The following is a 25,444-nucleotide window of genomic DNA, read 5'->3' on the forward strand; positions in this document are numbered from 1 at the left end:
ATGAACTTTAGGAAAGTAGGAGAGTTCTTTATGGGTAGGGCTAATCACAGGCTTACCTGTGCTCCTCCAAGAAGCTGTGCTCTCTGGAGGGGGCTGAGAACAGGAGGAACACTAGGAGGAAAAGGGTGACCCAGGAGGGAAGAGTTCTAAGGTAAAAAAAAAAAAAAAAAAAAGAATATGCTATAAAACAGGGGGTACATCATAATAAGGAAACTCAGCAGAAATGCAGTATAAACTTGGATATAAAAACTCTCAAATTACAGAGTCAAGCTCTGGAATAGAAAAAAAGAGTAATGCTAGAAATTATAAAAACACCATGACCATGTGACATGAAAAAGAAGCAGTAGAACATGGGACTGAAATGGTAGGAACCAGATGATCACAATGAGTTTAGATTTTTAAAGGTAAGAAAAGAGCTGATGTAAGAAACAACTGTCCTCTGACCTGGGGACAATTAGATCCAGCAATTTAAGTAAGGAGATTATAAAAAATAGGTATAATTTAGGAGATGTCAGCAAATCTAAATACTGGCAGTGATCTTACAAATAGTGATCAGAAAATACATACTGCACATTTTTGTTAGGCTTAAAGTGACATACCGGGACACTGCAGAGCTGGTTTGGAGACATCCTCTCACCATAGGGAGCAGGATAACGAGGTGGCATTGGGGGCCGAACATGGACAGGCTTCGGACACAGAATCTATCAGGACAAACATATATACAACTACACTCAATGAAATCAGTTTTTCTTCCACCTACACTCCCTCCCCTCAAGTACTGGTAGAGACACGAACTCAATGCAAAGCCCTACTTCTAAGCAAATTGCTATGGCTACAGGTTCAAATACAGAACCTTGGGCCACTTTCTCTCACAAATCAAGTAAAGTGTCAGCATTAACTGAGGAAGATTTAGCTAATTCTCCAGTTATCCCCACCCTTCCATGCTGTCTGAGGGAGATACCAGCAGATATTCTGACTTGCAAATTCTCTCCAAGAGGATATATTTTGGTAGCACTGAGGGAGAAGGAATGATAAGAAAGCTGGAGGATTAACTAAGTCCTATTCTGAAGCCCCTGTGATATGGCCGCCATGCTCAGCACTTTTGTGATACATTGTGACTCCACCATTTCATAGGATTTGAGCCTAACTAGGCCATACCAACACCACCCTCCCCCCATACCTTCCAAATTGGCCTTCCTTTTCAGCTGCTGGTTTCAGGTGGAGGAAAGTCTATGGAACAGGACTGCACAGGCTCTAGGGAAAGCAGGGATATCTTAAAGGTAAAAAGGGATGTGGACAATGCTGTGTGTTCCCACTCCCCCCGGCTTTCAGTTATCTCTCTGACAATGTTTTGGGCAGCCAGCAAAACACTTCAAAAAGGATATATGTGCTAAATGTGGCTAACTACCCTTTTTTCTCCCCCAATTAAAAGGCAGCAGCAATAGCAGCAGCAAAGGGTATCAGGGAATGTGTCTCTTATTTGTACTAATTTCTCCTCTAACTAGCTATTTTTCTTTCTAATCTAATGCCTACCCAAAATTTCCACCCTCCACCCAACATCACCAATTTTCCAAATAATTTTGCCCAGATTCCCAATATCCTGGGCTGTGTGCTTGTTAATGAGAGGTACCTGTTGGGTGAAGCTGGGTACAGCCATCTGTTTAGGTGGGGTGCCTATGGGGACAGCTCTAACAGGAGGACTGCCAATGATAGGTGAAGTTGACCGCCTTGGTAATGCTCGTTCAGAAAGGTCCCGATCATCTTCTGGACCCTGGGGGGGCCTCTGAGGCAAAGCATATTCTAATACAGACACTGTAGGCATTTCCTAATTGAGGAAGTGGTAAAATAAAATAGAAATTAACTAACTTGGTATGTTTTAGTAATCTCTACAGATGCCAAAAATACCTTAAGAAATTTTTTTAACTTTTTATTTATTTTTAATTCACATATAGTAAAATTCACTTTTTGGTATATGGTTCTCTGAGTTTGGTAAGCGGCTCATGCCTGAAATCCCAGCGCCTTGGGAGGGTGAGGTGGGAGGATCACTTGAAGCCAGGAGTTTGAGACTAGCCTGGGCAACACAGCGAGACTTCATCTATACAAAAATAAAAAAACTAAGCCAGGCATGGTGGCATGCACCTGTAGTCTCAGCTACTCAAGAGGCCGAGGTGGGAGGATCACTTGAGCCCGGAAGTTCAAGGTTACAGAGAGCTATGACTGTACCAGTGCACTCTAGCCTGGTTGACACAGCAAGACCTGGTCTCAAAAAAAAAAAAAAGAAAGAAAGAGAGAGCAAGAACAGTTGCATCACTCCCCAGAAATTCCATTGTATTGTTCCTTTGTAGTTAACGCCTCCTGCCATGTCCAACCACTAGTAAACACTGATGACCTCTCTGTCCCTATAGTTTTGCATAGAAATGAGTTTTTTTTTTTTTTGAGACAGAGTCTCACTCTGTTGCCCAGGCTGGAGTGCAGTGGCGCAATCTTGCCTTACTACAACTTCCGCCCTGCCTCCCAGGTTCAAGTGATTCTCCTGCCTCAGCCTCCTGAGTAGCTGGGATTACAGGTGCCCACCACCACGCCTGGTTAATTTTTGTATTTTTAGTAAGGATGGGGTTTCACCATGTTGGCCAGGCTGGTCTTGAACTCCTCACCTCAAGTGATCCACCTGTCTCAGCCTCTCAAAGTGCTGGGATTACACGCGTGAGCCACCACGCCTGGCTCAGATATGACTTTTTAAGTGATTCAAATCACAATCATACACTAACAAATTTAAATTCCAATGGCTCCCTTGCAACCTTTACCCTGGAGGCTAAAGAAAGGCATAGCTAAGTGCTGGATGCAGTAGTCGACATAATTCTAGCAAATGAAAGACCTATAAACCCCTTCAGTAAGGAAAGGATGACGACAGGAACTTAAAATTTTTGGATATTATAAATTTTATGTAAAGAGAAAATATTTAATACCTGAGCAAGCAGTGGTCCTCGGATTCGCCTCAGAACTTCAGATCCATCCCAGATACTGGAATTCAGACTTCCTGGTTGGGGCTAACAAAAAAGGAAAACATACAGAGTCTGAAATGTTGTATACTCTCTGGGTGACTTATCTGCTGCTGGGGAACAAGGTTCCAAAAGAGCCTCAAGCTGCTTTAGAATACGAAATTATAGGGCTCCAGAATATACATTATTCCCCAAGTTTATCTCTAGAACTTCTATCATCAGGAAATATATTATCAATTTTCTATGGTATATGTAAATCTCTCATTATAATAGATAAAATAAAATGGCAAAGTTCAATACTTCACTTTAATTTTTAGTCTGCTATAGTTCTCAAATCACAGTAACTTACTTACTTGTAAAACTGGCCTGGTCTGCACTGCCCTCATAATAGCTGGATCTTCTAGTTCATTTTCAATCACCATCTTACTGAGCCTTTCTGCCAGATTCTCCTCATGGTCACCCAACAAGTCCATTTCATCTCTCTCTCCATTGCCTGTTTGTTCATTAACTGCCACTGGTAGCTTTTCTTCCAATTCAGCCAGGCGCTCATGTGCTTCCTGCCAATCATCATCTATAAGATGACACAGTTCATGTAAGAAATAGTTCATAGTGGTACAAAAAAGTTTTACACAATTATTGTTTTTTTTTTTTTAGACAGAGTCTCACTCTGTCGCCCAGGCTGCAGTGCAGTGGCGTGATCTCGGCTCACCGCAACCTCCACCTCCCGGGTTCAAGCAATTCTCTGCGTCAGCCTCCCAAGTAGCTGGAGTAGCTGGGACTACAGGCGCCCACCACCACACCTGGCTAATTTTTGTATTTTTAGTAGAGGTGGGGTTTCACCATGCTGGCCAGGCTGGTCTCAAACTCCCGACCTCAAATGATCCACCCATCTCGGCCTCCCAAAGTGCTGGGATTACAAGCATGAGCCACCACGCCCGGCCTACACAATTCTTCTGCTAAGCAAATGAATAATTCCAGAAGATAGGTAGAAAGTTAAGTTTACACTTAGAAACAGGAAATAAGGTTTAAACTAAGGGACACGTAAAGCATGCTTTTTATAAGTAAAAGCAAATAACATTATACCAGGAATAAAATTCAAACATGTGAATTAATAGCTTAAAACATTATCAATAATGTCCAAACTATATTCTGAAACTGTTTCCCAAATTGGTGATAGATATGTATAGTACTACTAGTTGGTTTTGAGATTCTATGACATTTCAAGCAAAAACTTTAAAGGGAAGTTAAAACTCATAGCATTAGCATACAACTTCCTCTTAGATTTTAAGTGCCACATTCTTTACATGCTTTTGAATCCATTCGTTCCATTCAATTAATATTTGGTAAGCATCTATTATGTGACAAGCCCTGTTTTAGACGCATGGGATACATTGGTGTACAAAAAGACACAGAGATTCTGCCTTCATAACACTTTCATGCAAGCAGGAAAGAGAGAGATGATAGACAATAAGCATAATGATTAGATACTATACCAGAAGATGAAATTGCTGTAGGAATATAAAGGAAGAAAGGCAGATTGAAAATTTAAATAGATGGTCAGAGGTAGGCCTCATTGAGAAGATGACATTTGAGCAAAGATTCTAAAGAGTAAGAGGGTTAGCAATTTGGATATCTGGGAGAAGAGGGTTCCAGGCAGAGGGACAGTCAGTATAAAGAAAGGCCTTAAGGTGAGAGATTGATGGTTTTGAGAAACGGCAAGGAGGACTGTGTCTGGAATGGAATGAGCAGGGTGGGGAGAGTAGAAGAAAATGAGGTCAAGAAGTCATGAGGAGGGAGCTCATTCTGGGCCACTATGATTGAAATGGGAAGCCAATGGAAATTTTCATTTGGCTTAACTTTTAAAAGAATCACTCTGGCTGCTGTGCTGAAAACAGGCTAGGGAAGAGGAAGGGGCATTTCCTCTTTTATCTTAACTATGTCTGCTATTACTGCACACTACTATAAAGTCTGTAGCACTGACATTAAGGTTGTTTCTGCATTTGGTATGTTGGCATCATTTTTTCTGTTTTGGAATCCCATTACAGCACAGATTACAATCTTCAGAACCCTCTATCAGCTGCTCTGGAGCTAGACCTTACTTCCAACGCATCTCACTCCAGTTCTCTCCAATCTTATTCCATTCTGCTTCCATCATGAAAGCTGTACTCACAGTTTTGCTCCATTCAGTATTTTTATTTTTATTTTTTGAGACAGGGTCTCACTGTCGTCCAGGTTGGAGTGCAATGGCGTGATCTGGCTCACTGCAGTCTCAACCTCCCGGGCTCAGGTGATTCCCCCAACCTCAGCCTCCCAAGTAACTGGAACTACAGGTTTGTACCACCACACCAGGCTAATTTTTATATTTTTTGTAGAGTCGGGGTTTCCCCATGTTGCCCAGACTGGTCTTAAGCTCCTGGGCTCAAGCAATCCACCTGCAACAGCCTTCCAAAGAGCTGGGATCACAGGCTTGAGCCACTGCCTCTGGCCTTTCTTTTCAGGTATTCAAATGTGAAACTTCTTCCTCCTCCTCAATGGAGCTACTCCTAAATAATCCTTTCATTTTATTTCTTCCTTTACCTCATCTCTATATGCATTACTTTCTAACCCACAAAAAGTATTATTTTGTATATGTTATATGGTATTCTTTTTTTAGTTACATCCTTTATATGTTTTATAAAATTCAACAGACAGGGATAACAGGTTATAACCAACACAGAAACAGAGACTTTCTTTTTTCTGCTTTCAGAGAAAATACATGTTTAAAAAATTCAAACACCATAAACACATGTAACTTAAGTGAAAGTTCCCCACAATTCCACAGCTGTGTTAAGTTTTAAACAGTTTTAAGCTGTGTTAAGTTTATAAAGTTAACTTGTTTCTTTTTATTTAAGCAATATGTCTTGGACATCTTTTCATGCATGCACACAGGCATAACTACTGATAGTAACTCATTCTTTTTAATACCTACATAAGATTGCATTTTATTGCTAAACTATAATGTAATTTATCCCCTACTGGTAAACATTTGGATTATTTACAATTTTCCAATATAATAATTAATACTGTAATAACATCATACATATCTTAGCATTTTATGTGACTATTTAAATAAACTAATTTCCTTTTAGAATCAGATTACATTAACAGTTAAAATTTGCTATATATATGTAATTTTTAATCATACAACGATGTATCACATAATACTAGTGATCCAAAGAGTGAGGGAAGTGGGACTTTCAAATATATAATTTTGGTATCATAGGACCCACTGCCTAGTTTGGTTGATTTATGTATTAGTTGTGGTAAGGGATTCCTTAAGTTGTGGATCACTGTGCCATCACTGGGATAAAGACTGTGGGCAAAAGCTATAAAAATATCCTTACTTAAGCCTCCGGGACATGGGTCTTCTTTATAATTATGTGGTATTTTCTTTCCCACCCAATAGTTTCCTCTTACCTGAGTGACTAGTCAGGTGGCACTCTTCCTCTAAACTGTCATCTTACAGAAAAGAATTTAAGGTAGCCATTTTATGATGATGGTCTCTGATAAGCCTATCCTGATGTGCTCCAAAAAATGGAAAAATCCACTTTAAATGAAAATTACAGTGTTAATTTAAATGACTAGTCATATGAAAGAAAATATTTAAAGAATAATGTAATTAAAAACCAAATGTGACATTCATATTTGTGTCATCCTTGGTAAGGAACAGTAAGCTGGGACAGGATAAATTGTTTTTTGCAACTTTACTAACTTAGCAATGCCACAAGAGTGGGAATCTATCATCCTGAATTGAGGGATTTGTAAAAACATTTACTTCCCAAATTTAAGAAGTTAATTTGTTAGTGGATTTGTTCTAATGCAGTAGAGTTCTAATTTGCATGCTTTTCTATCACTACTTCCAGTATTCATGCTTGCTAACTTTACCAAATCCTATCAAATATGGATAATCTATTTCCCCTTAATAATAATATTTTAAAAATATTGGTTAAGTCGCCATATTCTGTGAGAATAGATCTCTGGTGAATTGATTGTTACATTTTCAAACATGTAACCAGAGGAATCTATGCCATAAAATACCATCATCATCATTTTAGATTTTTCTTACTCTTGTAAAAAATTATCTGAAGTAGTATTTTAGAGATATTGTGCCCTTACTATAAAACAATATTTCACCCTGTATCTTTTTCAAATGACCTAAAAATATAGTTACTTAGATATGCCAGTGCTTGACCTGAGTCCATTATTGGTCAAAATGATAAAAGGTAGGCAAAAGAATAACAGACAAATGAAGGGAAAGAGATTATCCGTAATAACGAACTAACCTATACTCTGATACGGGTTACTGAATTCCTGGCTGCTTCTATAAACTTATACTTGTAATAACCCCTGAAGCCTGTCTCAGGGAGTTTTGAATGAAAACAAAATAAAAAGGAAGAAGTGATTTAATTTTAAGGCAATCTCAATCTCTAAAGACTATAGTAGCTATCAATAAAAGGGAGGTAGGAAGGAGGGTGATTCCTTCCAAGTGGAGGCAGGAGATTTCCAAAGACTCCCCCAAAACTATTAAACATAACTAGTAGTTTACAGTAATTGTGTCTATAGTTACTTAACCCGTCACTCTTCCTCATTTGTTAAAATGAGGATAATAATAGTACCTATCTCACAAGGCTGCTATGAGGATTAACAATATATGTAAAATATTTAGAATGGTGCCTAGCACATAATAAGCACCATGTTAAGTGTAAGCTTTTATTTTTAGAGAAGGAGTTGGGATTACTGCAACACTATTTATTGCTCTAAGATGATGCAAACATTTTTTCATGCAGAAGACTAGTTTCTTAAGGAAAGGTGACCATTTGTAGCCAGTGACCTAAAATGTCTACTGTAATAGCAGGTATTATTCCAGATGCCCGCTATATGAATTAAAAATCATAAAATCAAAACAAATGTCAAAGGTCTGACATTTCACCTCTTGATTTAAACTCTCTATACCAGCTTTATATCAACCTGCAGAGGAGTATCAAAGAAGTCACAGGTTGACTTGGAAAACAATTTTCTTTTTATAGTATTTACACCAAGCTGTTATGAGGAATTAAGATCTTCACTTTACAATTCCAGTACATTACACTCTCAAGGGAAAGGGCTCACCTTTGGAAATCTTTTCTCTATATTATTATAAACTTTCTTGGCCAAAAAATCCTTTCTAATCACCCTTTGGCCCTAAGGTACAAAGTGGGCTAATCATATGCTATTTAATTGCCTTAACTTTGTACTACCTGTTCTTTTACTGTGTAAACCTAATGGCTTTTTCAGCACGTGTACACTTTTCTTCTTTCCCATCATATAAAATACCGTTCCGGACACTCTAACATCCTTTTAAGGCAATATTATTCCCATCTTATGAGAAAAAATAGAAACTCAGGAAAAAAAGACTGTCCATAGCACTCTGGAAGTCAATGAGAAGGTATGACTCTTCCTCTTCTGTCCAGGTTGAAAACTGAGAACATGGTACAATGCTGCCTCATTTTAATGTCTATAAATCAATTCTAGCTAATTCATTTTAATACTGAAGAATTTGTTGAAAAAATGGTTAACATTCAGTACAGTATTTTAATAGAAAAAGAGTTCTAGAAACAAGCACATGTTGGTAGCTTCTATGGTATTCTATTTTTAAAGTATTTAATTAACTTTTTAGAGACAAGGTCTCGCTCTGTTACCCAGGCTGGAATGCAGTGGCACCATCATAGCTGATGCAGCCCTGAACTCCTGGGCTCAAGGGATCCTCCAGCCTCAGCCTCAACCTCCTAAGTGGTACATACCATCATGCCTGGCTATTTTTCAAAAAAAATTTTGTGGAGAAAGAGTCTCACTATGTTGCCGAGGATGGTCTTGAACTCCTGGCCTCAAGTGATCCTCCTGCCTTGACCTCCCAAAGTGCTGAGAGCTGTGGGCTTGAACCACCACAAATAGCTTATTGTGTCCTACTGATTATCACTAAACTATCTTCCAAATATAATTTGCAATTCACATCAGTTTCCTGCTTTTGTAATTCCACTCTACATCTCTTTGCCTGTGATCTCCATGGAGAGAGATAATAGCATCTTGGATCATGTTATCCTCCTGGACAATCTCATCTCCTAACCCATGCCTATAATCCAAAAGGTCTTTGATTCCTTTCCATCATGAGTCTAGCTTCTACTTTCAACACTTTTCTTGCTGCTTCTAATCATAACAAAGTTTTAGTTCTCTAATGAATTTTACAAATGACTGACAATATTAAAACACCTTCATTTTTGCCAGTTTATTCAAGTCAGTCTAAGCTTTAATAAATGTATTAGGTCACTGCAAAACCAGTGACCATTATAATACTTTAAGGCCTCTTATTTGTTTTTGATATTCAACATCTTGGGATTACTGACTATTGCTAAATTTTCTCTTTTTCCTTATGACTTAACTTGGAGTATTTGTTGCACAGACAGAAGTGTTGCGACTACAAAAGAATCACACACATTTATACATTTGAACATAAACGCTGTTATTGCTGCTTTCCAGCACCAAGTCTAAGCAAACATATCTGCATTGACTCTTACCTATTCATTTGCTTAAAAATATACAGTTTTGGCCAGGCGTGGTGGCTTGCACCTGTAATCCCAGCACTTTGGGAGGCTGAGGAGGGATCACTTGAGGTCAGGAGTTCATGACCACCCTGGCCAACATGGAGAAACCCTGTCTCTACTAAAAATACAAAAATTAGCCGGGCGCTTGTGTTCTCAGCTACTTGGGAGGCTGAGACAGGAGAACTGCTTGAACTGGGGAGGCAGAAGCTGCAGTGAGCCGAGATCATGCTACTGCACTCCAGTCTAGGTGACAGAGCAAGACTCTGTCTCAAAACAAATATATGTGTATGTATACAGTTTAAAAATTTAAATTTCAATTTATTACTCCACTTGTTCTACACCTGTTCTAAGTAACATGTGTTCTCAAACTTTATCATATAAGCTTACTTCCTAAATTTTCCATCTTGGCATTTATAACCCCGTGGCCTGTAACCTTAGTTTGGCTCTTCAGTTTTTAAACTTTTTCCAACTCTTAAAATATGTATCTATAGGCTGGGCGCGGTGGCTCAGGCCTGTAATCCCAGCACTTTGGGAGGCCGAGATGGGCGGATCACGAGGTCAGGAGTTTGAGACCAGCCTGGTTAGCTCGGTGTGGTGGCGGGCACCTGTAATCCCGGCTACTCGGGAGCCTGAGGCAGGAGAACTGTTTGAACTCAGGAGGCGGAGGTTGCAGTGAGCCAAGATCGTGCCACTGCACTCCAGCCTGGGTGACAGAGCAAGACTTCATCTCGAAAAAGAATAAATAAATAAATAAATAATATGTATCTATACCCAGGGATGGACAAAATTTCATCTGTGCATACTTTTCTAACTTATGAGTCCTTTCTTGACCCCCAAAATTCTTGCTATAAAAAGCTTTATATTTTGAAGATACTATAAGTTGCAAAGTTATATACTAGTGATAGACTAAATTTTGAAACACATATACCCACATCCTAGAATCTGAATTTTCTACTAGTACACTAGTTTTCCATAAGTTATATGTTATACAAATAAAAATTCCTCTCATCTAGGATTAATTTAAATCTCTCTTAAATGTTTACTTCTCTAAACATTTGAATCCCTCATAGGGGCAACCTGTAGTCATCGATCATATAGCTGGAAGGGGCAAGGCTTACAGAATACCTGATTTTATAGGTAAGGCAAAAAGAGACCCAGAGGAGCAGGATAGGTGCTGTTTCCAGTGAAGAATGAACTATTCTAAGATGAGGAATAGAAGAATATCTTGCCAAGTTAGTGAATAAGGTTACCCCTAATAAGATAAAGCACTTCTAAAAGACAGCACTTGAAAAGAGCAGGAGGCTAAGATGATATTATAAGCGAAAGATGTCACTTACCAACTGCACCTGACCCAAATGTATCATCATTGAATTGATCAATCTCTTCATCTTCTTCTCCCAGTCCCTGAAATGCATCTTCATCTTCATCCAGAGGACAATCCTCCAAAGACTAAAAAAAAAGAAAAGACATTAGTTATTCATGAAATTCACACCCTCATTTTAAAAATGTTCTAAAAATGTTCATCTTACCTTCTCAATGAACATAATTGCTTCATTATGACTTTTTGTAAAGATGGCATTTTTTTTCTACTTCCCAATTTCCCTGACACTGGAAGATTTCATCATCTTTCTTTCACTTTCTATTTCCTAATCCTTATTTCATTTAATTCTTGCCCCACCTCACAGCATTCCATTTCTCTATTTTATCAAGAATCCACGAACAGCAGTTCCTCATGCAACCAAGAAATTAAGCCCACAACTTTCCTTACATCACTGGTTGGAATACTGATGACAATTAATAATGAACCCTTTATTTTCTTGTATCTTTATGTATCTTTTCCAGCAAAATTCTCATCTTTCTCATTATATTCATGTCATCTTTTCAACTATTATTCCGTTTTAAAGCTTTGTCTTCATTTTCCATCTTTCTTATCTTCCCTATAGGCCTAAACTCTAGTGATGAAACAGAAAATTAGGTCTTCAACCACAATAAAATGAACTCTGGAAAAGCTGTGGTATGACAAGTTCAAGTTCTGGCTCCATTCCTACAATCAGTGTGAACATGGGCAACTCAGAAAATTTCTAATTAATTCATCAAATACCTTTTAAGGACCTATTGCGTCTAAGGTTCTGTGCTAGGCTGTAAGGCTCAATGTCTTACATTGTAATGCAGGGACAATACCAACTATGGCAGAGAGTTGTGATGATCAAAGTGGGCAAAGATTACAGATTATCGAACAAAGGCTAGAGGCCACCACATCCTAGGTGTGTTCTATTTTCCCCCTTTACTTCAATCTTACTCAACTGATTTATTCTCCAAGTTTTCCTTTTGGTTTGGTCTTAGATCATTCCTATCAAGTATACCTGTCCTCAATTTTCAAAAATTCAGAATCAGAATTCCATATTCTATCAGTAGGTACGTTTGTGATACACCTTGCCTGGCTACCTCTTAGCTACCCTGTTTACAATGGAAAGATTAGGTCAAAGGGCGTTCTTCTTACCCCAGAGCCCTTCCAAACTCATGCCAATAGGCATGCCACTGCCTCCTTATCAGAGGCAACTTCCAGCAGTACTCCCTTCCAAATCACAAATATCTACTTTACCAAATCGCTGCTTTTTTAAATTAAAAATTCTTAAGGATCATTTACATCAGTTCTTTCATGCTACAAATTCAGAAAGTTTACGTCCAGAGATTAGGAGTCACTCAAGGTCACACAGTGAGTTGGTGACAGGGTCAGTACTGTCTGCTGCTATTGCTACATTCCCGGCACCTTCTCCAAACCCGCGTCTCCCAGCACTAGCCCAGAAGGAACTTCTGCAGGACACGCCCCCCTCCCAACTCGGAGCCCTCTTTAGTAAACGGGCTGGGGCCCTAATCCAACGGCAAGCCCAGGCCCCCTTCACCTGAAGGTAGCCTGTGTGAATGGGATGTGTGTCAGTGTAATTCGAGTGGAGGTGGGTGGGGGGTGGTTCCGGGTCCAGGGCGGGAAACGCGGCTCTGGGAATTCCCGGGTGACACCTACTTAAGAAAAGCACCCGGGGAGATGCAGTGCTCTACCCTCCGTGGCTCCTCTAGGGGTGGGGGCGGGGGTGTGGTCTGGTTACAGCACTTAACGGGCCCTCCCCACCCCAAAACGGAGGCCAACTTTCCCCAGCGGCAACTAATGGGACTGTCTCGACCCATGAAGCCAGCTCCCAGCCCTAGGATTAGACCCGCGACCCCAGACCAGTCGCGTCCAGCTAAGTCCTGCGACTCCCCCAGCCCGCCCCCTGCCCCGCAGGAACACAGGACCGGCGCGCGGAGAGAGAGTGAGGGAGAGGGGCGCGGGAGGGAGGGAGGGGTCACTTCCGGTCGCAACAGCTCACCTCGTAGCGGAACATTCTTGGGGAGGGGGGCAGGGAGCGGGGAGGGGAGAGGGGGAGGGAGGGAAGAAGCGCTGACTCCCCGGCTCCTCCGCGCGCGGGTCCTCCACCGGCTCGCGACCCCTGGCCGCCGCCGTACGCCGGAGCGTGCGTGGGGACGTGCGCAGGCGCGCCTCAGGCAGGGCGGCCACCCCGCTCGGCGCCCGGCGGCGGCGGCTGCGCAGGGACAGATTTGGCGTCCCGCTTCCTAGTCTCAGCGGCGGGAAGGAGGTCCCGTGGCGAGAGACTGCGCACGCGCTGCCCGTCTTCGGCTGCCTGGTGATCTGGGCTTGTAGCTCCGCCCCCTCTTTCTCCGCGCCCTCTAGGCGCTCGGCTTGGAGCTCAGGGGCCGGTCACGAGTTCTCCGTCACCCGTGGGGCGGAGAAAACCCTTGTGATTGTCACAGGATATAGCTTTGAAGAATCCTGCGCTTAGCCTGGGCTGGGAAAGATGAGATTCCCGGGCAGTTTTTCCAACGTCCGACTCACTCCTCAGGCTGCTCGGGGGTCTCCCCGTTGCAATCTGCGCCTTGCGCAGGGAAAAAAGAATGGAAAGTTGCTGGTCTTCGAAAGGGGCGGACTTCGTCGCCACTTTCAGCGGCTCGTCGCCTGCTGAATCCACAGCAGGTCAGGGCTGTGATTTATGTGGCTCAAAGTGATGACGGCGCCCGTTTTTTTTTTTTTTTTTTTTGAAATGCTGAAGACAGGTTCCGGGAGGTTTAACTAGGGTGGTATTTTTAAGCGCCAGGCTCATTAGGCGCGAGGAGCTGCAGAGCCTCGAAGGGCCGCACGGCCGTGGGCCGCTGGCCACGCAGCAGCAGGGTCTTCGGGCCGTGGTGCGCCGCTGGGTGACTCCACTTCCTTAGAGGATCGAACCCACAGAGGAATGTGTCCAGCTTAGAAGCTTCGGCCCCCTGGTTCCAGAATTCTGTTGGGTGGTTTGTTACCTCTAGCACGCTCCATGCCCTTCTTGCCCCTTTCCTTTCAGACAAAACTTGCAGCACAAAGAATGAATTCTTTTGGGTTTCGCAATCCGTTTCTTCCCTGGGCGTCTTAAAATGCAGCCTCGTCTCGGAATGGCATACAGTAAATCCCCTAAATGTTAGTGTGTCTGGATCAGTTTGAGTATCGGAAACGCTGAATTTGTGAAGAAAAGTTCTGGGTGGGAGCTTGTGCTTTGCCACTGGCTAGGAAACTTTGGGCAACTTACCTAAACCTCTCTGAGCCTTAGTTTCTTGTAAAATGGGTATAATTACACCTGCCTCATGATGGTAACACTACTAACGATTGAAGGCTGCCTGGGACTCTGCTAGGCGCTTTATAAAATGGATTATCTCATTGAATCCTTCCTTATGTGCCCCCCATGAGGTAGGTACTGTTATTTTCTCAGTTTACAGTTGAGGAACCTGAGGATTAGCGACATTGTTTGCCTCCAACCACCCAATGGCAAGTGGTAAAGCTAGCAGCTGAGATTTGTCTGATTATTAAAAACCGAGTGTCTTAATCACTGTGCCAGAATAACAAAAGCAAATGTTGACATGGGCCAGGCCTGAACTTTAAAGAAGTGGAGCGTCGGGACAAGATGATTTATTGGTTTTCAAGCATGCATGGAACATTATAAAACATCAAATACTAAGTAACAGGCCAGGCGCGGTGGCTCACGCCTGTAATCCCAGCACTTTGGGAGGCCGAGGTGGGCGGATCACAAGGTCAAGGAGATCTAGACCATCCTGGCTAACAGAGTGACACCCCGTCTCTACTAAAAATACAAAAAATTAGCCGGGCGTGGTGGCGGGCGCCTGTAGTCCCAGCTACTCGAGGGGCTGAGGCAGGAGAATTGCGTGAACCCGGGAGGCGGAGCTTGCAGTGAGCCGAGATCGCACCACTGCACTCTAGCCTGGGTGACAGAGCAAAGACTACGTCTCACAAAAAACAAACAAACAAACAAAAAAAACTAAGTAGCAGTACATCTTAATAATTACCAAAGAATTGGTGCCATGTAGATCAAGGGTTAGCAGACTATGGCCCACAGTCCAATCTGGCCAGCCACCCGTTTTTGTAAAGCAAGCTTTATTGGAATACAGCCAACCTTATTTATTTACATATTGTCTTTGATTGCTTTAATGTTATAAAGTCAGAGTTGAGTGGTTACAATGGATACAGTGTGGCCTGTAAAGTGTAACATATTTACTATTTGGCGCTTTACAGAGTTTGCTGATCCCTGATCTTGCAGATCATGTTTTCTGATCATTATGTAAGATATCAATAGTAAAAACAGATTAGGAAAAAAGTCTTAAGTTTTCAGAAATTAAAAAAGAAAAAAAAAAGTCCTGGCGCGGTGCCTCACGCCTGTAATCCCAGCACTTTGGGAGCCCGAGGCGGGCAGATCACGAGGTCAGGAGATGGAGACCATCCTGGCTAACATGGCGAAACCCTGTCTCTACTAAAAATACTAAAAATACAAAAAAATTAGCCGGGCGTGGTGGCGGGCGCCTGTAGTCCCAGCTACTCGGGAGGCTGAGGCAGGAGAATGGGGTGAACCCAGGAGGCAGAGCTTGAGGTGAGCCGAGTTCGCGCCACTGCACTCTAGCCTGGGTGACAGAGCGAGACTCTGTCTCAAAAAACAACAACAACAACAACAACAACAACAACAAAAACCAAAAAACCCCTCCAATTCAATGACTAAATAATGGAAAGCAGAAAATAGTTACAACTGATGTGGTGGGTGGATTGCATGAGCTCAGGAGTTGGAGACCAGCCTACGCAACATGGCGAAACCGCGACTCTACAAAAAGCACAAAAATTAGCTGGGTTAGTTGTTTTATTAGCTGCTCTGCATTATTTCTGGTCGTGGTGGTGTGCACCTGTGCCTGTAGTCCCAGCAGCTACTCGGGAGACTGAGGACGAAAATAGGGAAGCCTGAATATAAATTAGCTATAAAATAAACCCAAAGAAAGTACAAGGAAAGAAATGCTGTAGAGCAGGAATTAAAGGAGCAGAAAACAAAGTGTCATAGACAGGATCAACAAAATTTCCCATTTCCTCTTATACAACACCTGTCTGTGAGGGAGATTGAAAGTCCCTTTAAAAGAATAATGTATTTTTAGGCGGGTGCTGGTGGTTCACGCCTGTAATCCTAGCACTTTGGGAGGCCGAGGCGGGCGGATCACGAGGTCAGGAGATCGAGACCATCCTGGTTAACACGGTGGAACCCCGTCTCTACTAAAAGTACAAAAATTAGCCAGGCATGGTGGCACCCACCTGTAGTCCCAGCTACTCGGGAGGCTGAGGCAGGAGAATTGCTTGAACCTGGGAGGTGGAGGTTGTGGTGAGCTGAGATCACACCACTGCACTCCAGCCTGGGCAACAGAGGGAGACTCCATCTCAAAAAAAACTATATATATATATATATATATATATATATATATATATATATATATGGTTTTTTTTGTATATATATATATATATATATATATATATATAGTTTTTTTTGAGCTGCTAATAGGCCCATTATTAAGATGGAAAAGGTACAAGTTCTTTTCACAAGTGATTCTTTAGACATAAAGTATGATGTTTCTGGGAACTGTCCCTTGAGTGGGTGGGAGAAGGGAGGTGTCTCCTGCATGCCAAGTACATGGGAAAGGTTATTGACAGCTGAGGAAGGCCATCAATTAGAGAAAGCCACCACACCAGCTTTCTTTGGCATTATCTATGCTTTCTGGAGGCTCTGTAAGCCATTATAGTATTTACAGAGTATACATGTTTCTTTTTTACTTTTTTTTTTTTTTTTTTTTAAACCTGACAAGTTACTTGGGCTAGAGTGCGGTTGCATGATCACAGCTCACTGAGCTTCGACCTCCTGGTCTCATGCGATCCTCTTGTCTCAGCCTCCCAAAGTGCTGGGCTTACAGGCGTGAGCCACCACACCTGGCCTGTTTCTTTTCTAAATGTAAAAAAACATGACGTACAATTTACTTTCTTGTGAGACTGGTTTCAGATATTTTCATCAAGTAACTTACATCTCTAAAACACTGATTCCAAACTTTAACATGCATTTAGAATTGCCAAGATGGCTTGTTGAAACATAGACTACTGGGCCCCATCCCCAGAGTTTCACATTCAGTAGGAGGGAAGTCAGGCCTGAGAATTTGCATTTGTAACAAGTTGCCAGATTATTCCGACGCTACTAGTTCTGTGACTACACTTTGAAACCCCACATTGTCCATTAGTACTTGCAGGGTTATAGAGGGAGAAAAGAGTAGGGTGCTGCACCCAGGGTCATTTCTCATGTAGTGAAAAAAGTTATGACAAACCTCCCAGAAAGTAATGGGACCCCTTAGTGCAACAAATCTTAGGGGAAAAGAATTACCCATATAATAAAAATAACTGTTACAAGGCAAAATTTGTGATGGACTAAACATGGCCACAAATTCTTTGACAGTTCTCCCATTTAATAATTAACTGATTAGTTTTTATTATTTACTTTTCAGAGATGGGGTCTCACTCTGTTGCCCAGGCTGTAGTGCAATGGTGTGATTATAGTTCACAGCAGCCTCAAACCCCTGGGTTCGAGTGATTTTCCTGCCTCATCCTTCTGAATAGCTGGGGCTACAGGCACACACCACTATACCCAGCTTATTTATTTTTTATTTTTATAAAGACAGGGTCTCACTATGTTGCCCAGGCTGGTCTCAAACTCCTGGCCTCAGCCTCCTGCATAGCTGGGATTACAGGCGCAAACCAGCACACCCTGCTACTTCTCCCATTAGGAGGTAAGATCTATGTTCCCTTTTCCTTGAATCTGGACTGAGCTATGACTGCTTTGACTAATGGAATATGGAAGTGGAGATGCTCTGCCAGTTCTGGGTCACCTTTAAGAAGATTGGCAGTGTAAGTCCATGTAAAATACCCGGCTGCTTTGCTGAAGAGATCACATGGAAGGACCCTGAAATTACATAAAGAGGAAGGTGGGTCCAGCTCTATTTAGCTTATTAACCATCCCAGTCAAGACACCAGGTATGTGAATGAAGCTGTCTTGGACTCTTCACACCTGTTCAGCTACCAGCCAAACACTGTGACTCCATTCCATGCCATAAAGAGCGGAAGAATCACTCAGCAAAGCTGCTCCAAAATTCCTGGCCCATAGAAGTATTTTATATATATATATAAAATATAAAATACTTTATTATATATATTATATATATATATATAAAATAAAATGGTTGTAGTTTTAAGCCACAAATTGTATTGTTTGTTTTGTTTGTTTGTTGTTTTTTGAGAGGGCTGCAGTGCAATGGTGCAATCATAGCCCACTGCTACCTCAAACTCCTGGGCTTAAACCATTCCCCCACCTCAGCCTCCCCAGTAGCCAAGCCTTCAGGCACGTGCCACCACATGTGGCTATATATATATATGTACATTTCAACCACAAAGTTTTAGAGTAGTTTATTGCTCACTAATAGATAGTGGGAATGTGTCCGTTTAGAAAAATTATACAAAACTTGGAAATAAGGAAAAAGGATTGTTGTGTGCCTTGCAATGTTGTAATAAGAACATTATCTAACAAGCCTGCCTAAAGGTCATTTAAAGTTCTACAGAGAGGTAACCTTGTTTGACTTAGTGTTTATTATTAATTAATGAGATCCCAGACTCAGTAAAGTTAGATATTAGTTTATAGAAGATTAACAAGTTGCAAATTATTTTTGTCCAGTGGAGATAATTTCATTTTGGTGGGAAAGATCATCTCAAAGGAGACAGTTTTATTGCCACACAGGACATTAACCAATAATATATTTAACTTTTGAGTCTTAATTCAGCCATTTCCCCCACTATATAGTTCATAGTTTCTTGTGTCCTCCTTTGAATCAGCTTCACCACCTTGCTGTTTCTTTTCATTAATAAGATAAATAAATATTTTGACACATGCTCATAATGTAATTGAAAGAGAATAATTTTTATTTAGCTTTTTGAAAGTTATACTTTGGCAAACTATTAAACTTTTTTTTTTGCAGGGGATTCAACTCAATACGTATTTATCGAGAATCTATTATGTAAAATGGTGAGAAGTGATATCTATATTATAGCCTACTGTGCAATAGCATTATGTCTTTAAAAACGCAATGTACATACCTTAATTAAAAAATGCTTTATTGCTAAAAATGCTAATGATCATCTAAGCCTTTAGCGAATTTTAATCTTTTTCCTGATGGAGGGTCTTGCCTCGATGTTGATAGCTGCTTACTGATAAAGGCAGTGGTTGCTGAAGGTTGGGGTGGCTATGGTAATTTCTTAAAATAAGACAAGGAAGTAAGCCACCTCGATTGACTTTTCCTTTCATGACGGAAAAGTTTCTCTGTAGCATGCAGCGCTGTTTGGCATTTTACCCATGAATTAGAACTTTCAAAATTGGAGGCAATTCTCTCAAACACTGCTTTATCAACTAAGCTTGTGTAATACTCTAAATCCTTTATTATCATTTCAGCAATGTTCACAGCATCTTCACCGGGAGAAGATTCTATCTTAAGGAAACTCTTTTCTCATGCATAAGAAGCACCTCCTTACCTGTTAAAAGTTTAATCATGAGATTGCAGGAATTCAGTCACATCTTCAGGCTCCACTTCTAATTCTAGTTCTCTTGGTATTCCACCGCACCTGCAGTGACTTCCTCCACCGAAGTCTTGAACCTCTCAAAGTCATCCATGAGGGTTGGAATCAACTTCTTCCAAAGTCCTGTTAATGTTTGTAGTGTTATGAAATATATATACATATAGGTTTTCATACACAGGAAACAGAATCTCTTTGACCTTCTCTTGCCTTCCTTTTACCTGCCTTCCTTTCACCTACCCCAAAGCAGGACTCTAATCTTCTGCTTTTATAATTGTGGATCATAAGACTCATTTCAGAGAGGGTCCCAACCCATGGCCTGGGGGAAGGAATGCTGATATAATGAAGCTTCCATAAAAATCCAAGAGGACAGCTTCCTGATAGCTGAACAAGTGGAGGTTTCTGGGGAATGGCTACCTGGGGAGGGCATGGGAGCTCCGTGTCCCTTCCTCCATACCTCTCCCTGTGCATCTCTTCATCTGGATCCTTCGTGATATCCTTTATAATAAACTGGTAAATATAAGTGTTTCCTTAGTTCTGTGAGCCACTCCAGCAAATTATTGAACCCAAAGAGGGGGTCATGGGAACCTCAACTTGAAGCTGATTGATCAGAAGTTCCAGAGACCTGGACTTGCAACTGGTGTCTGGGGGGAGGAGGGAGTAATCTTGGGGACTGAGCCCTTTACCTGTGGGAACTGACATATCTCCAGGTAGTGTCAGAATCGAATTGGAGGATACCCAGCTGGTCTCCACTGCTTGTTGGTGGGGAAAATCCCCCATATATTTGGTCACAGAAGTCTTCTGTGTTGATTGTTGTGGTGTGAGAGCAGAGGACAAATGCAGTTTAAGTTTTTCCATGACAATGTTGATACTTTGACCCCTTCCTATGACTCACAAATGTTCTTTTTGCGGGCAGGGGGCAAACAAGTGCAGTGGCACGATCTCGACTCACTGCAACCTCCACCTCCTGGGCTCAAGCCATTCTCCCATCTCAGCCTCCCAAGTAGCTGGGGCTATAGGCGGGCACCATCATGCCCGGCTAATTTTTGTATTTTTTGTAGGGACAGGGCTTCGCCACGCTGCCTGTACCTGGCTTCACAAATGTTCTTAATGGCATTTAGGATGGTAAATCCTTTCCAGGTTTTTTTGTTTTGTTTTGTTTTCCTTTATCTAGTCATCCAGAAGTATCCAGAAGGTTTTCAATTTCTTTTGCCCAGATCCATCAAAGGAATCATTATCTATGACAGCTATAGCCTTACAAAATGTATTTCTGAAATAATAAGACTTGAAAGTTGAAATTGCTGTGTGGGCTGCAGAATGGATGTTGTGTTAGCAGGCCTGAAAACGATTAATCTTGTACATCTCCATCAGAGTTCTTGGGTGACCAGCTGCATTGTCAATGAGCAGTAGTATTTTAAAATAAACCAGTTTTTTTTTTTTTTTTTTTTTTTGAGTAGTAGGTTTCAGCAGTGGGCTTTAAATATTCAGTAAATCACGCTGTAAATGGATGTGCTGTTGCTATCCAGGCTTTATTGTTTCATTTACAGAGCAGAGGCCGGGTAGATTTAGCATAATTCTTAAGGAACCTAAGATTTTTTAGAAGGACAAATAAGCATTGACTTCAACTTAAAGTCACCAGCTGCACTAGCCCCTGACAAGGGAGTCAGCCTGCCCTTTGAAGCTTTGAACCTAGGCATTGAAAGTCCTAGATGGTATCTTCTTCCAATAATATAAGGCCATTTTGTCTGCATTGAAAATCTGTTGATGTAGCCACCTTCATCAATGATGAAGCTAGATCTTCTGGATGACTTGCTGGAGCTTCTACATCAAGCACTTGCTGCTTTACTGTGTACTTTTATGTTATGGAGGTGGCTTCTTTCCTTAAACCTCATGAACCAAGCTCTGCTAGCTCCAAACTTTTCTTCTGCAGCTTCCTCACCTCTCTCCACCTTCATAGAATTGAGAGAGTTAGGGTGTCTGGATTAGGATCTGGCTTAAGGGAATGTTGTGGCTAGTTTGATCTTTTATCCAGACCACTGAAAGTTTCTCCATAACAGCAATAATGCTGTTTTACTTTCCTACCATTTGTATGTTCACTGGAGTAGCATTTTTAAATCCTTTCAAGAGCTTTTCCTTTGCATTCACAACTTGGCTAGCTTCTTGGCCCAAAGGCCTAGTTTTTGGCCCATCTTGCTTTTGACATGCCTTCCTCACTAAGCTTAATCATTTCTAGCTTTTGATTTAAAGTGAGAGATGTGTGACTCTTTCTTTCACTTGAACACTTAAAGGTGATTGTGAGGTTATTAATTGGCCTAATTTCAATATAGTTGTGTCGCAGGGAATAGGGAGGCCCAAAGAGAGGGAGAAAGATGAGGGAACAGCTAGTCAGTGGAACACACACAACACTTAGTAAGTTCACCGTCTTATAAGGGTGCAGTTCCTGGTGCCCCAAAACAATTAAAATAGTAACATTAAAGATGACTGAACACATATCACTATAATAGATGTAATAAAAAGTTTGAAATATTGTGAGAATTACCAAAATGTGAGACAGAGACGTGAAGTGAACACATGCTGTTGGGAAAATGGTGCTGATAGACCTGCTCAATGTAAGGTTGCCAAAATTTTTCGATTTGTAAAAAACACAATTATCTGTGAAGTATAATAAAATGAGGTGTTAGGTTGTTGTTGTTTCTGTAACAAAATTATATTTCTATAGGTCGGAATTTTAAAATGGGTTACAGAACTACATTTCTTCCTTGAGGCCACTAGGGGAGAATTTGTTTTTTGTTGTTTGTTTTTAGCTTCCAGAGGTTACTTGCATTTCTTGGCTTGTAGCCCTATCCTCCATTTTCAAAGTCAGCAGCATAAATCTTCCAAACTCTTTCTCTCTCTGCTTTTGTTATCATACTTTTCTCTTCAATTCTCCTGCTCCTTTGTTATAAAGATCCTGTGATAACATTGTGTGCACCCAGATAATACAGGATAATCTCCCCATCTCAGGATTCTTAATTTAATCATATCTACCAAATCCCTTTTACCATGTAAAATAATATATTCACAGGTTCTTGGAATTAGGACATGGAAATATTTGGGGAGCCATTTTTTAGCCTATGGTATGTATGTGGTATGTATGAGTCATTGGGGTATAAAAAATGATTTCTGGTAGTATAATGAGAAAAAATTTTAAGGTTTAAGTTTGTGTTTTATGTGCTGCTTAGAGATGAATAATGAAGATGTCACTAGGTGAACTATGTCAATGGTTTCTGTGTTCATTTCAGTAACTCCCAAGACAACTGGGGCTATGTTCACTAACATGCTGTTAGTTATATATTGCTGCATACAAAACTACCCTAAAATTTAGCAGTGATATGGTTTGGTTGTATCCCCACCCAAAATCTCATCTTGAATTTTAATCCCCATAATCCCCATATGTCAAGGGAGAGAACAGCTGGAGGTAATTGAATAATGGGGGTGGTTTCCCTCATGCTGTTCTCATCATAATAAGTGAGTTCTCACAAGATCTGATGGTTTTATGTGTTTGGTAGTTCCTCCTGCATTCATTCTGCGTCCCACCACCTTGTGAAGGAGGTGCGTTGCTTCCCCTTCACCTTCCGCCATGATTGTAAGTTTCCTGAGGCCTCCCCAGCCATGCAGAACTGTGAGTCAATTGAACCTCTTTCCTTTGTAAATTACCCAGTCCCGGGCAGTTCTTTATAGGAGTGTGAAAATGGACTAATACAAGCACTTAAAACAAAAATAAGTTATTATCTCACAAAGATTTTGGGGGTCAGGAACTGGGAGCAGCTTAGCTAGGTGGTTCTGGCTCAGAGTGTTTCAGGAGATTGCAGTCTGAATGTTGGCTGGGGCTCCAGACACCTGAAGTCTTGACTAGCAGTGGAGAATCTGTCCTCAAGATGGTTCACTTACATGGCTGTTAGCAAGAGGTGTCAGTTCCTCTCTGGCTGTTCATAGGAGATCTCAGTTCCTTACTACATTAGCATCTCCATAGGGCTTCTTGATTGTCCTCAGGACATGGTAGCTTCTTTTACAGTGAGTAATCTGAGGTAGAAGCTAAAGCCACAATATCTTTTATGACCCACCCTCAGAAGTCACACACTGTCACTTCTGCCACATTCTATGTACTAGAAATAAGTTACTAGGTACAACCCATATTCAAAGGGAGAGGAATTAGGCTCCACTGTGTAAAGGGAGGAGTTTCAAAGAATTTGTGGACATATTTTATAGAACCACCACAGCCTACTTGAAGAAGAACAACAGACCTTTTAATCATGGCAAATTTTCTGGACAGATAAATAGATTCTAGGGTTGGAATGATGTCAGCAAGATGGTGGTATAGGAGGTCACCTGCTTTTATCCCCCAACAATAAGAATTCTTCACCCATCCAGACAAAAAAGTCTCTTTGTGGAAGCCTCACGATTCAGGTAGAAAGTTGTGGAAGCCCAATGGAGCCTAAGACCTAGGAGGGTGATTTTGAGAGTGCAGACCCATACCCTGTTGGCAGACCCATCAACTGTGCTCCCAGATTCAAGCCTGGGGAAATGGCCTCATTCCCCAAGGGGCTTGGCAACAGCCCCTACTGGCCTTGAGGCTACCACCAAAACCATCTGCCAGGGGGTTCAGGAAGAATCATGCACACCAGTGCCTCAGCAGGGAAGGCTCATCTGCCTGCTGACGTTGGTCTTCGCAGCTTGGACCTGAAAGTTGCCTTGTGGCTCGTCTCCACCCCTCCTCAGCTGTGGTCCCAGCTTAGTACTACTTGCTGGGAAATTGCTTCCCAAAGGGAAAGTTGCCCATATCTCACAGGAGTTACCCATTCATCTGAGCCTCTGCAATGGGCTTTCCAGTCTCTGTCCAACAGCAGATTCTGAGACCCAGTCTCAAGTCTGGCCCCACACCCACCTAAGCCAATGGGATGGGTTTGCTGACCTCTGTTCCATGGGGGCCCTTGAGGGGGCCCAGTCTCAGCTCCAGCCCCTCTTTCCACATGTGGGGATTGTCCTGCCTGTGCAGGGAACTGCTGGGAGGGGTGTCTGTCCAGGCCACTGGGACAGTCTTCTGGGCTTGGGTCCCTGGCTAGCTTATCTATACAGCCTAGGTACCTTCCTTCAATCTTCCTCAGGTCCATCCTGGCTTGGGTGCTGTGTCAGCCTCAAAGCCCTTGCAAAACTTGTGATGAACCTGGGCTTAGGGCCCCCTCTAGTGCTGAAGTGGCTGCAACAGCCACAGGCTTAGGAATCACAAGTCAGGCTGCTTAGAACTTCTAGACAGGCCTATTGAAGTAAAACAGGCACAAACAAAGCCAGAATGCAAAGACTAGAATAAATACCTAATACACAGACATTGACGCACATCTGCAAGCATCCAGAATAAGCAGGGAAATTTGACCTCACCAAACAAAATAAGATGCCAGTGACTGACCCTAAAGGGAACTTCAAGAAAACACAGAGAAACAATTCAAAAATTTACCAGAGAAATTTAACAGAGATATTGCAATTAAAAAAAACCCAGAAATCTAGGAGCTAAAAAATACAATGAGTATTAAAAAATATTAGTAGAGAGCATCAATAGCAGAATTAAGCAGAGGAAAGAATCTGTGAACTTGAAGATAGGTTATTTGAAAATGGGAAAAGAGAGATCAGACTGTTACTGTGTCTATGTAGAAAAAAGTAAACTTAAGAGACTCTATTTTGTTCTGTACTAGGAGAAATTCTTCTGCCTTGAGATGCTGTTAATCTGTAACCCTAGCCCCAACCCTGTGCTTGCAGATAATTGTGCTGTGTTGACTCAAGGTGTAATGGAT

The 25,444-nt window shown here is 41.6% G+C and overlaps 1 protein-coding gene and 1 long non-coding RNA gene across 3 annotated transcripts in view, besides 5 other annotated features; one reads left to right on the forward strand and one right to left on the reverse strand.

Annotated features, from left to right (window-relative positions):
- PATL1 (PAT1 homolog 1, processing body mRNA decay factor) overlaps positions 1–13,138 on the reverse strand; it is a 32,322-nt gene extending 19,184 nt beyond the window's left edge. Inside the window, exons 1-7 of the mRNA NM_152716.3 lie at positions 12,982–13,138; positions 10,954–11,065; positions 3,353–3,570; positions 2,967–3,047; positions 1,631–1,825; positions 600–701; positions 57–146 (exon numbers count right to left, since the gene is read on the reverse strand). Coding sequence (NP_689929.2) covers positions 57–146; positions 600–701; positions 1,631–1,825; positions 2,967–3,047; positions 3,353–3,570; positions 10,954–11,065; positions 12,982–12,996 — 813 coding nt within the window. The 5' untranslated portion in view covers positions 12,997–13,138. The remainder of the gene's footprint in view (positions 1–56; positions 147–599; positions 702–1,630; positions 1,826–2,966; positions 3,048–3,352; positions 3,571–10,953; positions 11,066–12,981) is intronic.
- Positions 12,868–13,217: a silencer, noted in NCBI's record as "silent region_3368". NCBI's record gives its function as "represses an Ori minimal core promoter by ATAC-STARR-seq in GM12878 lymphoblastoid cells {active_cell/tissue: GM12878}" and the evidence as "EXISTENCE:reporter gene assay evidence [ECO:0000049][PMID:35858748]".
- Positions 13,177–13,471: an enhancer, noted in NCBI's record as "tiled region #11887; HepG2 Activating non-DNase unmatched - State 1:Tss, and K562 Activating DNase matched - State 1:Tss". NCBI's record gives its function as "activates a minimal TATA promoter and a strong SV40 promoter by Sharpr-MPRA in HepG2 and K562 cells {active_cell/tissue: HepG2 | K562}" and the evidence as "EXISTENCE:reporter gene assay evidence [ECO:0000049][PMID:27701403]".
- Positions 13,177–13,687: a biological region, named in NCBI's record as "Sharpr-MPRA regulatory region 11887".
- Positions 13,398–13,687: an enhancer, noted in NCBI's record as "active region_4759". NCBI's record gives its function as "activates an Ori minimal core promoter by ATAC-STARR-seq in GM12878 lymphoblastoid cells {active_cell/tissue: GM12878}" and the evidence as "EXISTENCE:reporter gene assay evidence [ECO:0000049][PMID:35858748]".
- PATL1-DT (PATL1 divergent transcript) lies at positions 13,411–20,142 on the forward strand. Of its 2 annotated transcripts, NR_187296.1 has the most exons (4): positions 13,411–13,643; positions 17,677–17,788; positions 19,028–19,074; positions 19,498–20,142. It is a non-coding gene; the product is annotated as a PATL1 divergent transcript (long non-coding RNA). The 2 variants fall into 2 exon arrangements; NR_187295.1 differs by lacking the exons at positions 17,677–17,788; positions 19,028–19,074.
- Positions 24,479–24,979: an enhancer, noted in NCBI's record as "H3K4me1 hESC enhancer chr11:59447851-59448351 (GRCh37/hg19 assembly coordinates)". NCBI's record gives its function as "activates a minimal SCP1, AML or CMV promoter by ChIP-STARR-seq in primed H9 embryonic stem cells {active_cell/tissue: H9 hESC(primed)}" and the evidence as "EXISTENCE:reporter gene assay evidence [ECO:0000049][PMID:30033119]".

The sequence above is a fragment of the Homo sapiens genome, chromosome 11, assembly GCF_000001405.40.
Source record: "Homo sapiens chromosome 11, GRCh38.p14 Primary Assembly".
Classification (NCBI taxonomy): Eukaryota; Metazoa; Chordata; class Mammalia; order Primates; family Hominidae; genus Homo; species Homo sapiens.